General features: G+C 36.1%; 1 long non-coding RNA gene across 1 annotated transcript in view, besides 1 other annotated feature; it reads right to left on the bottom strand.

Moving 5' to 3' along the window:
- The window catches only part of LOC107986770 (uncharacterized), a 407,223-nt gene that overhangs the window by 61,199 nt on the left and 329,084 nt on the right, over positions 1-16,940 (bottom strand). The gene's annotated exons all lie outside the window — the stretch shown is intronic.
- Positions 12,219-12,419: a silencer, noted in NCBI's record as "peak6397 fragment used in MPRA reporter construct". NCBI's record gives its function as "represses an SCP1 promoter by STARR-seq MPRAs in K562 erythroleukemia cells {active_cell/tissue: K562}" and the evidence as "EXISTENCE:reporter gene assay evidence [ECO:0000049][PMID:32103011]".

Genomic DNA, 16,940 nt, shown 5'->3' with positions numbered 1-16,940 from the left:
CCAGAAAAGCACAAAATCCAAATTGTTATTAGTAATTTACTCTCTAGAGTAAATCACATTATTCTGTCCTTTATGAGTGAAGGTTCTGACAGAAAGGGAATGTAGAGAGACCGTGAGAACCCAGAGTGTCTATTAAGAACTGAAAGGGTGTCAAGAAAAATAGGAGTGGGATAAGTGGGCCAGGAAGATTGGAGGAGGAAGAAAGAAATGGAAGAAAGGCTGCTTCTTTAAAAAAAAAAAAAAAGAATAAGTATTTTATTTAGGGTTTCCCCTGAAACAGACTCTGAGATAACAGTTGAAGTGCAAGTAGTTGATTTGATGGGCAATAATTTGGGAGGCACTGGAAGGAAAATGGGGTGAGAGAAAGGGGAGAAGGGGCATTTAAGGCAGCAAAGTGAGAGACTAAGACTTGCTTGCAGGTATTTTGTTGGACAAGTGATCATAGGAAACAGGAGTGAAGGACATTGGGTGTGAAAGGGGAAGGTGGAAAAAAACCAATACAAACATTGATTAAGGTGGCCATGGTTATGAATGGCTAGGACTCACTACCTCAGGATCTTCTGAGGACCCTTCTGAAACACATCTCAGAACTGTCCATTTATCTCTCTAGAAAATCAAATGGATAAACATTGATTCATTAACCTAGCACACAACACAGTGTGTGGGGAAAGTATATCTCAGTTTTGGAGTCAAATGGAACGGCTTTTGTATCTTGGTACTGCCTACTTACTAGCTACATGGGATCATTGTAATACCTTCCTGAAAATTTTATCTTATATCTGTAAAAGACGGAGTAATATTGCCTATTTTTCTGGTAAAAACCCTGATAAATTACCTCAGAATTTTTCAATAATTCTTCCAAACTTTTATCTCAAATTATTTTTGTCTAAAAATAGCAAAGAGAAAAATCTTTTGAGACTCAAACCTCTCTCGTGAGACAAAACTGAAATTCAGTTGTTGAACACAGCTACTAACTGTTTTACTAGTTTATCTTATATATCTTTAATAGAAGCAGGAACGCAAAGGAAAGCATTGAAAAATGGCGTTAAATAATGACATTTAACCGCAACGGTACAAACTGGATTTATTTTCAACATGCACATGGATTTGTAAATATAAACATAGATAGTATTTTATTACTTTAAATATATTTGAATTACTTTGTGAATGAGTTTGTGAAAACTTTTTTCTCATTTTGCCACTTCTGAGATGATAGAATGGAATTATGGCCTGAAGTATTATGTATGTACAGCCTTGAAAGATACCTAAGAGGTGAGAAATCAACACTGATCTTTAAATAACATGTGAATGAAATCACTAAATCATAATGAAGCAAATTTTGATCAACAAAGTCTTTTACATTATTATATTGGTCTCTCTGTTTTTAATATGAAGGATTTCAATTATGTATAAATAGATGCTCACCCATTTTCTCGGAACTTACTGGCAAAGGTGAGAGTTAGTACAAAATCCGTGAAAAGTCTTTCATGGTAATTACTCCCTTTTTCACATCTCACAGTAGGAGGAAAAGTCCACTCCCAAAGGGCACAACACCTTCCCTCCACTGTCTCACTCACTGGGGAGCGTTTGTGGGATCACAAAGACCTTTGCTCCAGGGTAAAGCAGCTGTTCTGGGTGCTTGCCAACTGAAGTGATGGTCTAGCAAAATCTGTCAACAAGGGAAACATGCCACATCCTCATACTCATGTGGCTGCCTTCTCTTTCCCTATTTGGCATACCCCTTGGGACACTGCCTTATACAAAAGACCAAGACAGGTGACATACGTGTCAACATATGGCACTGCCCTCCTGGGGTAATGTACATGAAAGCATATGGTGCTGCTCTCTTACTCGTCAGCAAACACAGGAAGGACTCTGTCATAGTTACCCTGTTTATTTTCCATAAGGTTCTGAATTGTCCCCGAAAGGGGATAATTTGCATTATTTCTAGATATAAGGAAATATCACAGCTACATTAAAGAGCAGATGGTTGTCTGATTCTTGAGAAATACATATGTATATAATATTTTGTATCTATAGTTTATAAATCTTTCTGCATATTTAGAACTATATGTTCTAAATAAATGTATTTCTAAAGAAGTAAATGGCTATAATCATATATGTGTATATATACATATACATGTATGTCATATAAATAAAATCACACATACACATTCTTAGTAAAAAGATTATCATCTTTTTCTTATAAGTGCTTCGTTTTTAAGTGTTTCATTCTGACATATATTATAAAAGAATTTTCAGTTCGTTGGTCTTTTTTATGTTTTTACATCCAAGTATTTTCATTTGCTCTGGCTAACTCATTCTCACTCTATTGATTTTAGTTTAAAACTCTTCTTTCAGGAAGTCCAGTATCCTAAGTTAAGAATAAATTTCTCTTTTGGGGCCTTCTAAAACTTGGCTCTTCCTTGCCATTGTACTCACCGTCGCTTAAACACTTGACATTACTAACCACAACACATAAACATGGGGAAGAGATGGTCTCCCTTTTTTACCAGGGTGTTTCTCCCATGATGAGCATGGGTTCTAGCAAGAGGTAGGTGGTTAATAAATATTGAATGAATAAATTTAAAAATGCATCCACATAGGTAGGAAATTATGAAGACAGGAAAAGGCAAGGGTAATACGAAGAAGAAATTTAGCAGTAGAAAAGTCAGTATCTACTAAGTGACTTGATGTGGCAATTAAAGAACAAAGCAGAATCAAGAAGGAATCAGATATTTTTGGTAAGGGTGGAGAAAGGAGAGAGGCTAACAGTTTCCTTGGCCTGCTGTCTTCAATGACCCAATCTGATTACCTCCTTTGTTCCCAGTATTTGGGATGAATTATATCATGTTATTATAAGAAAAACAAACATGTTTTGTTACCACCTCCTTTTTTCCCACCTATCTGATGATCTGCGGTCCCTTGTTGACCTGCTCCAATGCCAATTCATTATCTGCTGTTGACAAACCAAATGTAACATTAGCACCCCGAAGACCACAACAGTTGAGACTCTCCACTGAGACATAAAGATTTTCCTATCTCTGGAAGATAGTGTTCTTTCAACTTCACGGAGCTGCCCTAGAAAGTTGCTCAGAATAACATCATTCTAGTCTCCAAAGCCTCCTCTTTCTTTGCCCTTGCTTAGACTCTGCTTTTGGCAAACTGTTCATTATTTGTTGAGGGAAGTTATTTCAAATCCCAACATAAGTATTTACTAGAAATACGCACTCTGTACCACTTTAATTACGTCGAACGGTATTTAAAATACTTCATTTAAACGTTATGATTTTGTGAAAATGCCAAACGCAATGCCTAGCACATAACTGGCACTTTATACACATTAATGTCCTGCCTACATTGTTTGAGAATTATTATCTATGTACCCTAATCATGCCTTCAAAGTTCTTTATAGAATAGAGATGGGCAAGCTCTTTTTGTTAATTTCCAGATAGAAAATATTTTCAGCTTTGAGGACCTTGCACTTTCTTTCATTGCAAAACTAAAGATGGATAATATGTAACAAAATTGATGTAGTTGTGTTCCAATAAAACTTTATCTACAAAAACAGTCAATAGTCTGTATTGGCCCATGGACTATAATTTGTTGATCACTGTAATAAATGCTTTGATGTCCCAGGTAAAAGCATGTGACATTTGACACATTGTTAGGCCCCTAAGAGACTTTAACTAGATAGCTAAGCAGTTGTTTGTTTATGTGTGGGACTGGATGGGGAGTATGAAGTAGGATTGATGAGTGCATTTTCTCATGTTTTCCAGGCAGCATTATAATTCGTTGATAGTTTTTTTTGTTTTTATTTGTTTCTTGTGGATAGCTGAGCTGTATTATACAGTTTAATAGCAGTAGTTGATGGGGTGTGAGTTTTTTTTGTTTTTATTTGTTTCTTGTGGATAGCTGAGCTGTATTATACAGTTTAATAGCAGTAGTTGATGGGGTGTGAGCTGTCAATTATATTTTAAAAACCCACAACATTGTCATCAAGGAATAAGTGCCTTATTGAAAGCTTGCTATCCTTGACTTCTTTAAATCAATTTTATTAAAGATGAGTGATATTTTATATTTACATACAATAAAATGAACCCATTTTAACTGTACTGTTTGATAAGTTTCGACATATTTACACAAGTGATCATTGCCAAATCACAATACATACCACATTTCCATTACTCCAAAATGTCCCCTTTATGCTCCTTCCAAACCCTAGTTTAAAACATGCATGGATCTGCTTTCTGGTACTGTAGATTAGACTTGGCTTTCCTATAATTTCATAGGAATGACATCTTATAGTATTAATTGTTTCATGTCTTGTTTCTTTTACCTGGTATAGTATTTTTGACAAGAATACATGTATGTACATATAATTTGTTCCCTTTTAATACTTAGCAGTATCCAAATGTATTAATGTATCAGAATTTACTTAGGCACTATATTAGTCAGTTCTGCATTGATATAAAGAACTATCTAAGACCAGATAGTTTGTAAAGAAAAGAGGTTTAATTGACTCACAGTTCTGCAGGCTATACAGGAGGCATGATGTAGGAGGCCTCAGGAAACTTACAATCATGGCAGAAGGCAAAGGGGAAGCAAGCAGATCTTCACATGGCAGCAGGAAACAGAGAGAGTGAAGGGAGAACACACTTTCAAACAACCAGATCTTGTGAGAACTCACTCACTATCATGAGAATAGCTAGAAGAAAATCTAATCACCTCCCATCACATCCCACCCCCAACACTGGGGATTACAATTCAAAATGAGATTTTGGTGGGGACACAGAGCCAAACCCTATCAGGCACTCAGCTACTGATGAACATGTGGATTTTCTCCAGTTTGAGGCTATTATGAATAAATCTATAAACATTCATGTACAAACCTAGAAGTGGAATTATTTGTTTATATGGTAAGTATATGTTAAACTTTTTAAGAAATTGCCAAACTGCTTTCCACAGTAGTTTTATCATTACGTTACCATCAGCAGTGTATGACAATTTCATATGCTCCAGTCTCACCAAAGCTTGATATTATCAGCCTTTTTACTTTTAGCCATTTCTAATCATTGTGTAGTGTTAACTTATTGATTTTAATTTACATTTCCCTGATGATAAAAATAGTGAACACCATCTGATGTGGTTATTTGCCATTCATATATTTCCTTTTGTGACATCTCTGTATTTTTTGTCCAATTTTTGATTGAGTAGTTTGCTTTTTTATTACTGAGTTGTAAGAATGTTTGAAGTATTCTAAACTCAAGTCCTTTCTCAGGTTTATACATTTCAAATATTTTCCCTCAGTGTGTGTCTTGCTCTTTCAATCACTTAATGGATTCTCTAAAAAAGGCAGTTTTTAATTTTTATGAAGTCTAATTTATAAAAATATTTTTATCTTAAAAGGTTTTTGAATCTTTTTAATAAATCTTTGCCTACACCAAGATTGCAAGATTTACTCCTATTTTTTACAAGTTTTATATTTTTAGCTTTCAAGGTTAAATCTATGGCCTATCTCAAGTTAACTTATGGGTAGGTTGTGGCATCATTTCACAATTCATTTTCAAGTAGATATTCACTTGTTCCAGCACCATTACTTGAAAATAATATTATTCCCCCATATAATTATCATGGCACCTCTGTTAAAAATGAATTGATGATGTATGTGTGGGTCTTTCTGTGATTTCTTTATTTTGTTGCACTAATCTATATATCTATATGTAAACACTACACTGTATTGATTGTTATAGCTTTATATAAAATTATGGCATAAGGTACTGTAAGTTTTTCAACTTTATTGTTTAAAAATGTCTTTTGACTCTTATAGATCAATTTCCTCTCATATAAGTTGCAGAAATAGTTCGTCAGTGGAAACTGACGAACTGAGTGTTCAGTCAACGAACATAGTATGTATTTCTATTAATTTAGGACTTCACTTTTGACCAGCAATGATTTACAGGTGTCTTTGTAGATACTGTACCAATGTTCCTAAGTGTATTCTAAATATTTCATGCTTTTTGTTTCTTTTTGTAAATTACATAATTATTGAAAATTTAGTTCAATTTTCAATAATTAATTGCTACTACATAGGAACACAATTTATTTTTACATATTGCCTTTTTATACTTCAGTCTGCTTAACTCATTTACTAATTCTAGTATTGTTATTGTAGATTCCCTAACATTTTTTATGTATGGTCTCGTTGTGGAAAAAAGACAGTTTTAGTTTATAAGTTTTTTTTCTTCTAGAAGTTTTATGGTTCAGCATGTACATTTATGTCTACGGCCTATTTAAATTTAATTAATTTGTATGTTGTTGAGTACCACTGAAGTTATTTTCTTCCCTTTTATTTATTTTTATTTTTTGCCTTATTGCAATGATAAGGATCTTCAATGTGATATTGAATAGAAGTGGCAAGAATGGGCATCCTTGTCTTATTTTCAATGTTAGGACTTCTACTATTAAGCATAATGTGATATGTAGGTAATTTACAGATGTCCATAATCAGGTTGAATATGTTCTTTTATTCCCATATTGCTGAAAATTATTTTCATAAATGATAATGAATTTAGTCACGTGGTAATCATATGGTTTTCCTTTTATCCTGTTAATATCGTGTATGATATTGATTGGTCTGAAGATATTCCACATATCATGCCTTTGCTGATTTCTACTTATTTTGTTGAAATATACTGATAGCTCCTTCAGTTGACTCCTGTATCCCTTCAACATATCCTCTGGGTTTTGTTGTCATTCTTTACCCATTTGTGGCGCTTTTTGTGCATGTTGCCCTTTCTGGCACTACAACATTCTCCAGGCTCATCTAGTATAATTTTGTGCTCTAGCTCTACTGCCAGCTATTTCTACCATGCATCCTGGTTTCTTTGTTGGATAAGAGTAATAGAAAGCAAGATCTGAACACTAGGTATGCTTATTGCTACTGGGTATCATTGCGTCTAGGTCCTTTCAGCTGACATTTCAGATGTCTATATTAAATATATGTATATATGCTAACCCACAGATATGCACATATCAATAATTATTTCTAGATGTAACCATCTGTCTTTGTGTCTATATCGAACTACACATAAGTCCATACTTATGTCTCCAACTCTAATCCATTACCACATGGTTCTTCCTGGTGTCCTCTTCTTATTTATCTATAAATTCCCACTCCAACAGTAAGAAACCTGACTCATGCCCTCTGACAACCATTTGCTTCATTGCTTAATTCTGGTATACGTGCATAGTGGTTCTACAATTATTAAACCTTATCTGAAAGGGAAACAATGTTATCAATTAAAGTAGAGTGTTTACGTAAAAATGCTTTTGTCTATAGTGTTGCAAGCTATACTTATTTCCAAGGTAACTTAAATCTGCACCCTAATACCCTAAACTTTTTTTGAGGAGGTTTCATATAGTTGTAATATATTTAGATTCTTTTGTCAAATTCTGCATTCTGTCTGAGATCTCTGGACCTCTTTAATAATTCTCAGGAAAAAATTGCATTCATTAAGATTTAATCTTTGTTCTGTGATGCTCTATGGATTTTGACAAATGGGTGGTATCAGGTATATACTATTACAGTATCATACAGAAAAATTTCATTGTCCTAAAATAATCCTCTATGTTCCACCTACTAAAACCTCCTTTCCTTCCCTTGAGCTCTAGCAACCACTGATTTTTTACATCTCTGTAGACTTTCAATTTAACAGAAGTTTATTAATTAGAATTATATATAGCCTTTTCATCTATGTCTTTTCATGGCTTATTTTTTTTTCTTCCCTTTTTTTAAATTCCTTTGTTTCTTATTGTATTGGCTAGAACTTTTAGTACAATGTTGAATAGGAGTGGTGAGAGGGGACATCTTTGCCTTATTCTGATTTTAGGGGAAAATCATCCAGTTTTTCACAATTAGCTGTAAGTTTTTGTTGTCATTCTTTATCCATTTGAACATGTTTCCTCTCTGTTCCTTGAGATTAAGAATTATCTTAAACGAGTGTTAAACTTTATCAAATGCTTTTTCTGCATCAAAACACATGATCGTATGATGTTTCTTTTGTTTGGTATTGATGTGGTGAGTGCATTGATCTATTTTCAAATATTGAAGAAGCCCTGAAGACACAGAATAAATTCTACTTGATTATGTGTATATGTATGTTTTTACACAATGTTGGAATCAATTTGCTAAAATTTGTTAATAATTTTTACATCTATTTTCAAGAGACAGAATTGTCTACAGAGTTTTTCTTTATGTAATGTTTTTATTTGGTTTGGATATTAGGGTATTGCTGGCTTCATAGAATGAGATAGGAAGGGTCATCTTTGCTTCTGTTTTCTGAAAGAGATTGTGGAGAACTGATATCATTTCTCTCTTAAATGTTTTGGTAAAATTTGCTTGTGAAACCATCAAGGACTGATCCCCCACTACTCACTTTTTAGTAGCAAATATGAAGTTGGGGGGAGAGTGTATAATCTTATGATAAAATCTCAGTCTTTTAATGGATCTGTGTTTCTGGCTTGTGATCTGTACTACTATTTCTTCTTGTACAGCTTTCTCTACTCTGTAGGTGAAACAAGAAGGGTAGAGGTGGCCAGAGTCAGAAAATAAACTTCCCTCATGGCTTTGGGACAAGGCTCTGGTGTAGCCTTTCCTACTGAAGAGTAGGCATTTTCTGATGGAGAAGTCTGTGTGCATATTTCACAATGATTACCCTTCCTCTCTACTGCCAGAGTCATGAAGGGATCTTTCTTGGCTCTTCAATGTGAGAACCTGATGAAGTTACTGTATATAAATTCTTCTGAGAACTTCAGCCCCCAGGAGTTTCTCACACTTGCTCTAGTGCACCCTTACTTTCCAGCAATTCATCAACATTTCTATTTAAGTATTTGTATTAGTCACGGTTTTCCAGAGAAAGAGAAATGAAAGGAGATGTAGATATACAATTGGCCCTTTAACAACAAAAGTTTGAACTGCACGGGTCCGCTTATTTGTTTGAATAAGTATATTGGAATTTTTTTTTGAGATTTGTAACAATTTGAAAAAATTTGTAGATAAACCATATAGCCTAGAAATATCAATAAAATTAAGAAAAAGGTAGGTATGAAAAAGATATGTCATGAATGAATAAACTATATGTAGATTTTTTTGTCATTTACTATTATAAAATGTATACAAACTTATTATAAAAAGTTAAAATTTATCAAAACTTACACACATACAATTACAGACCAAATATGGCATCATTTGTAGTATAAGCAAATTTAAAGGTGTAATATTAAATCATAACTGCATTAACAGTAGTACATACTGTACTACTGTTATAACTTGGTTGCCACTTCCTAGTGCTACTGTAGTGAGCTTAAGTATTATAAGTATCTGCTAAAACCATATGTTACTAATTATCTCCATGTGAGCAATTCATGTCTGTAGTAAATGAAATATAGCAATAAAAAGTAATCTCTCATGGTTCTCATATATTTTTATCATATTTAGTGCAAGACCATAAACTTTGAATAACACCAAGAGATACATACTAAGTGCCAGTAGTGATTCTGAAAGTACTTCCAAGAAGCAGATGAAAGTTGTAATACAATAAAAAATGAACTTCTTGATATGTACTGTAGATCGAGGTCTGCAGCTGTGGTTGCCTGCTATTTCAAGACAACAGTTGTTATAAAAGAAGGACAATTGTTAAAAAAAAAGAAAAGAAAATTAATGCAGCTACACCAGCAGGCATGAGAACCTTGCACTTTTTGATAAACACTTTTTAATCATATTGAAAGAAGACATTTATGCAGCCAAAAAACACATGAAAAAATGCTCATCATCACTGGCCATCAGAGAAATGCAAATCAAAACCACTATGAGATATCATCTCACACCAGTTAGAATGGCAATCAATCATTAAAATGTCAGGAAACAACAGGTGCTGGAGAGGATGTGGAGAAATAGGAACACTTTTACACTGTTGGTGGGACTGTAAACTAGTTCAACCATTGTGGAAGTCAGTGTGGCGATTCCTCAGGGATCTAGAACTAGAAATACCATTTGACCCAGCCATCCCATTGCTGGGTATATACCCAAATGACTATAAATCATGCTGCTATAAAGACACATGCACACGTATGTTTATTGCGGCATTATTCACGATAGCAAAGACTTGGAACCAACCCAAATGTCCAACAATGATAGACTGGATTAAGAAAATGTGGCACATATACACCATGGAATACTATGCAGCCATAAAAAATGATGAGTTCATGTCCTTTGTAGGGACATGGATGAAATTGGAAACCATCATTCTCAGTAAACTATCGCAAGAACAAAAAACCAAACACCGCATATTCTCACTCATAGGTGGGAATTGAACAATGAGATCACATGGACACAGGAAGGGGAATATCACACTCTGGGGACTGTGGTGGGGTGGGGGGAGGGGGGAGGGATAGCATTGGGAGATATACCTAATGTTAGATGACGAGTTAGTGGGTGCAGCGCACCAGCATGGCACATGTATACATATGTAACTAACCTGCACAATGTGCACATGTACCCTAAAACTTAAAGTATAATATAAAAAAAAAAGAAAATGCAGCTTTTATATGAGTGCAGGATTGCTGTAAGAAAGGCATACCTATAGACTCAAATATGATTTAAGAAACAACAAAGTCATTACATGACAAAACAAAAGGAAGGTAAAGATCTAAAGCTGAAAAATTTAACACCAGCAAAGGATGGTTTGATGATTTTAGAAAAAAGTTTGGTTTAAAAAATATCAAGATAACAGGAGAGGCAGCTTCTGCCAACCAAGAGGCGACAGACAAGTTCCCAGATGCCATTAAGAAAACTGTTGAGGAGAAAGAGTATCTGCCTGAACAGGTTTTTAATGCAGATAAAAGTGCTCTAAAAATTATAGCCAATTTCTCCTGTCCAAATTGTAGCATATGTCTCCTGAAATACATAAAAGTGCTATGTTGTGTTCGGACTCTAGTTTTTACGAAAGAGTTCAGAAATTGTCTCTGGGCAGAAAGCCAGGATGAAAAATTTTCTAGTTTTCTATATGTTTATTTAGGAAAACTGATGTTGGAACTTAAACTCCAATGTATAGTATTAAGAGGTGGGACCTTTAGGAGATGTTAAATAGTGAGGATAGAGCCTGCATTAAGGGGATTATTGACTTTATAAAAGGGCTTGAGGGAACTAGCTAGGCCTTTTCTGCCCTTCTCTTCTTCCTCCACGTGAGAGGACAAAGCAAGAATCCTCTCATCAGGCACTAAGCCTGCCATGATCTCTCAATCTTGCACCTAGTCTCTAGAACTGAGACAAATAATTTCGTATTATTTATTAATTACTCAATCTGTGGCTCTTAAATAGCAGCACACCTCATCTTTGACTTTAATGCAATGGGGTACAGTGACAAGTGTCACCCACATTATGTCTACTAAATACTAATACTGTGAGATGTCCCATTATATAGATAATGTTGCCTTGCCCAATAGGTGTGAATATAATGCATTCTGTAACTTCACTTTGGGGTGTCATTGATTATTAAGGAAATTTTTAAATCTGGTTTAACCCAGGGGTTTCCACATTTACTTGGTCAAAGTCCCCGTTGTGAAACTTCCACTCAGATAAGAATAATTTAGAATGTTTAAATAATGATAAGTAGGAAAGTAGACAAAAGACAGTCTAATTGATCTACTCTTTTGAGGAAGTAATTTTTTAAAAGTCAAAATAGGACTTCACTTCTAGGCCATGAATTTCAGAGGGGACACAAACATAGAAACCATAGAATGCAGTCCCTGACCCCTGAAAATTTATGTCCTTTTCACATGCCAAATACATTTATTTCATCTTAATAGCCTGAACAGTATTAGCTCATTCCAGCATCAACTCAAATGTCTAAAAAGCCCAATATCTCATTTAAATATCATCTAAATCAGATATGAGTGAGACTCAAAGGTGTGACATCCTGAGACCAATTCCCTCCAGCTGTGAGGCTATGAAATCAAACCACTTATGTGCTTCCAAAATAAAATGCTGTAATAGGCACAAGATAGACATTCCTATTCTGAAAGAGAGCAATAGGAAAGAAGAAAGTGGCTAACAGGTCCCAAGTAATTCCAAAACCCAAGAAAGCAAACTTTAAATCTTGGGACTTGAGAACAATCTTTGACTCTATGTCCTGCTTTCCAAGACCTCAGGTGGCTCCACTCCAATGGTTTTGGTGGACACAGCCCATACAGAAGCTCTCTCTGATGGGAGTTTTATGCTTGGGGCTCTCTCAGCCTGATGTTGCATGCTGGTGGCTCTGTGGTCTCAGAGGCAGAATGCTGAGTAATGCAGGAACTTCCTGGGGGCAGGCAGATTACACTGGACAACTTTCATCCTGGAAGGAGTCACATTTTATTCTTATGGGAATAGACACTTTATCTGGATATGGATTTCCCTTCTCTGCATAAAATGCTTCTGTCTACACCACCATCTGTGAAGTTACAGATGATTTATCCACCATCATGGTATTCCACACAGCATTGCTTTTGATTAAGAAACTCACTTCATAGTCAAAGAAGTAAAACAATGAATCATGCTCATAAAATGTACTGGTATTTCCATGTTTCCTCACTATTCTGAAGTAGCGGGCTCCATAGAATGGTAAAATGGCTTTTTGAAGGTGCAAATACGATACCAGCTAGGTGACAATACCATGCAGGGCTGGGACAGCGTTCTCCAGAAGGCTGTATATGCTCTGAATCAGCGTCCAATAGATGGTACTATTTCTCCTATTGCCAGGATTCACAAGTCCAGAAACAAAGAGTAGTATCACTCACCGTTACCCATAGTAACCCTCTAGCAAACATTTTGCTTTTTGTTTTGTGACTTTGTGCTCTTCTAGCCTAGATATTTTAGTCCCAGAAGGAGGAATGATCCTACCAGGAAACACGACAATGATCCCATTAAATGGAATTTGAGACTTCCACCTGGCAACCTTGGCCTCCTCATGCCTTTGAATCAAAAGGTCAGGAAAGCAGTTACCATGTTGGTTGGGATGATCTGGGCTACCAAGGGGAAACTGAATTACTACCTCACAACGAAAGAAAGAAAATAGTATGTCTGGAATACAGGTGATCCCTTAGGTCATCTGTTAGCATTACCCTGCCCTGTGATTAAGGTCAGTGGGAAACTACAACTCAACTCAATCCAGAAAGGACTGTGAATAGTCCAGAGTTTTGTAGGAATGAAGGTTTGGGTCACTTTTCCAGGTAAAGAATCATGACCAGCTGAGGTGCTTTCTGAAGGCAAAGGGAATACAAAATGGACAGAGGAAGATAAATTCTAGCTAAGACCATGTGACCAGTTACAGAAATAATGACTGTTTTTGTCATTAGCATTTTCTTCTTCTTTTGTTAAGAATATATTTCAGTGTGTATATACGTGTATTAAGCATATATCTTTGTTTCCTTTCCTGTCTTATTTTTTAATCATGTAATATAAGATATATTGAGTTTATGTCACTATTTAATTGCTGTTGATTTTATGTCTTCATATTTGTTACAGGATATCAGGTTAAGAGTAAACATGACTCATGGACTTCACCTAGTGTTCTGGGGAAGGGATTTAGAGTATTTGGGGTTGTATGCAAAATAGTGGTGTTATGCTAGGCAGGACTATGACCTTGTTATTGTTTTTATTTGGTGATTAAGTATGATTTAAGGAGATGCATATGGGAGCCAAGTTGACAAGGAGAAGATTTGTGGTAGTTAATTATCGGTGTCAAGTTGCCTGGCTTAAGGGATACACAGATAGATAGCTGTGTATGTCTGTGAGGGTGTATTCAGAAGAGACTGGGGTTTGAATCAGTGGACTGAATAAGGAAGATCTATCTTCATCTGATGTGGAAGGACACACCTAATCAGCGAGGGCCTGGATAGAACAAAAAGGCAAAGAAATGACAAATTTCTCTCTCCCTCTTTCTATTTCTCTCTGTCCTCTAGCTGGGACATCCTTCTTCATTTGCCCTTGGACATCAGAATCCAGATTCTTTGGCCTTTGGACTCTGCGTTTACTGGTGGCTCCCCAGTTTCTCAAGCCTTCAGTCTGAGACTGAAGGCTAAACCATCAGTTTCCCTTGTTCTGAGGCATTTAGACTTGGACTGAGCCATGCTAACACCTTTCCTGGTTCTCCAGCCTGTCATGGGACTTCTCAGCCTCCATATATCATGTGAGCCAACTTCCTTAATAAATCTCTATCTATCTATTAATCTCTCTATCTATCTTCTGTCTTTCTGTCTGTCTATCTGTCTGTCTGTCTGTATGTATGTGTATCCATTCATGTATCTATTATCTGCTATTGGTTGTTTCTCTCTGGAGAAGCATTACTAATATAGGAAGATTCCTTAAACTTTAAACATATGACTTCAAGAATTGGAAATTAAGTTTAGAGTATGTTTAGTAAAATATCCTTAAAATTTTATTGCTCTTCTTGTAAAGAAAATTTGGGGAATCAATTCTGCTTTTATTTCCTTCTATTTTTTTCATTGTACATGCTGCTTTTCATGTACAAAAGTTACAGATGTCTGTATTCATTTTTCCTCTTCCACTCTCTCTGCCTAATTTATTTATTTTTTTAACTTGCATGGGTAAGCCAATTCATATTTCTAAACTCTCTTTCTTTATCCGTACAAGGTCAAAAACTCTATTTTGATAAAGCTTACCACTTTGACTGTTTTTCTTTCTCTATCCATTCTTCTTTGTGTCAAACTATTACAGTACACATACTTTTGTTTAATTGACCCTAAAATGCTATCTTTCCCTTGATGTATTCAAGTATCAGGCAACTTAAAAGTTACTTAGATATATATTTATGACAGATGTTTGATAGCTCACTGTCTCCTCATTGGCCTTTCCATACTCTCAGACACAAGACTCTGTGAAAGTACTGTATCTATCAGAATATTGTCTCACATTTGTATTCATTTATTCTTGACCCTAGAGCTAAGTTAGTTGACTCATAATGGTTTGGTGTCTCTTTAACATACAACTATATCCTTTTTAGTAGTGATTTCATTTCCAAATAATACTTAAGTGGTCTTTATTCTTGGCCTGCTGACTGGTATAACTGCAAAGCCAGTCAGAGAACATCACAATATTCCCCAGCAAGCTTTTTTGAAATAAATCAGAAGTGGCTGCATAGCTAAAGCACATATAATGTTCTTTTGTTGCTTATATCTGAATAACCATCCAACACATCAATTCCCAAGCTCTTTTAAATCATAGTTCCAAAAACACACAGGTAGTTTTTACTGAATTTGCCTTTGTGTTTGATTCTCATAATGGATTTGTTCCTTACAGGATTGGCCCTGAGCTCAATTGCAATGCACATTTAGTTTATCTTGGGTACACCTGCCTTCTCCTTTTCTTTCTTTCTTTTTTTTTTTTTTATTATACTTTAAGTTCTAGGGTACATGTGCACAAATTGCAGCTTTGTTACATATGTATACATGTGCCATGTTGGTGTGCTGCACCCATTAACTCATCATTTACATTAGGTATTTCTCCTAATGCTATCCCTCCCCCCACCCCCAATCCCATGACAGGCCTCAGTGTGATATACCATCTCACACCAGTTACAAAGGGAATCATTAAAAAGTCAGGAAACGACAGGTGCTGGAAAGGATGTGGAGAAATAGGAACACTTTTACACTGTTGGTGGGACCGTAAACTAGTTCAACCATTGTGGAAGACAGTGTGGCGATTCCTCAAGGATCTAGAACTAGAAATACCATTTGACCCAGTGATCCCATTACTGGGTATACACCCAAAGGATTATAAATCATGCTACTATAAAGACACATGCACGCGTATGTTTATTGCGGCACTATTCACAATAGCAAGGACTTGGAACCAACCCAAATGTCCATCAATGATAGACTGGATTAAGAAAATGTGGCACATATACACCATGGAATACTATGCAGTCATAAAAAAGGATGAGTTCATGTCCTTTGTAGGGTCATGCATGAAGCTGGAAACCATCATTCTGAGCAAACTATCGCAAGGACAGAAAACCAAACACCACATGTTGTCACTCACAGGTGGGAATTGAACAATGAGAACACTGTCTTCCCCTTTTCTTTTTTTTTTTTTTTTTGAGACGGAGTCTCGCTCTGTCGCCCAGGCCGGACTGCGGACTGCAGTGGCGCAATCTCGGCTCACTGCAAGCTCCGCTTCCCGGGTTCACGCCATTCTCCTGCCTCAGCCTCCCGAGTAGCTGGGACTACAGGCGCCCGCCACCGCGCCCGGCTAATTTTTTGTATTTTTAGTAGAGACGGGGTTTCACCTTGTTAGCCAGGATGGTCTCGATCTCCTGACCTCATGATCCACCCGCCTCGGCCTCCCAAAGTGCTGGGATTACAGGCGTGAGCCACCGCGCTCGGCCCCCCTTTTCTTATTTTACTTCCCCAACTGTGGGTACAGCCCTCTCTCTGTGTTTACTCCTTGCTCCTCACTGTTCATCATAATCTGCTTTCTGGAAAAGAGTTCTTCTATTTATTTTTTAAAGTATATTTAGTTCAATGCATTATATATAATGGGGGCCCTTGCACTGAAAACAATGATTGCCTCTAGTGATACTATGAGTGGCTTTGTTCCAGGCCACAGAAGTTGTGGTAAAAGTGAAATCAGTGTTTGAAAAGGTGAACCAAATGTGAGGCTTCTGAATACCCTAATAAATACATCATTTCTGGAGCAGTGTTTGGCTTGATTCCAAGTAGTTCAGTGACAGGTTTGCCTGAAAAGCATGAGATGATATCTTCCTTTTGTTCCCCAGTACCTTTTCTATTCAAAGTGACAATACCAAAATTCTAGTGAGAACACTTTTTTAGGAAGAATATATGCTATTGTTAAGATCATAGATTCTAAAATCAGCTGACCT

The sequence above is a fragment of the Homo sapiens genome, chromosome 7 (assembly GCF_000001405.40).
Source record: "Homo sapiens chromosome 7, GRCh38.p14 Primary Assembly".
In the NCBI taxonomy this organism is placed as follows: Eukaryota; Metazoa; Chordata; class Mammalia; order Primates; family Hominidae; genus Homo; species Homo sapiens.
This window is presented reverse-complemented; position numbering and strand designations above follow the sequence as displayed.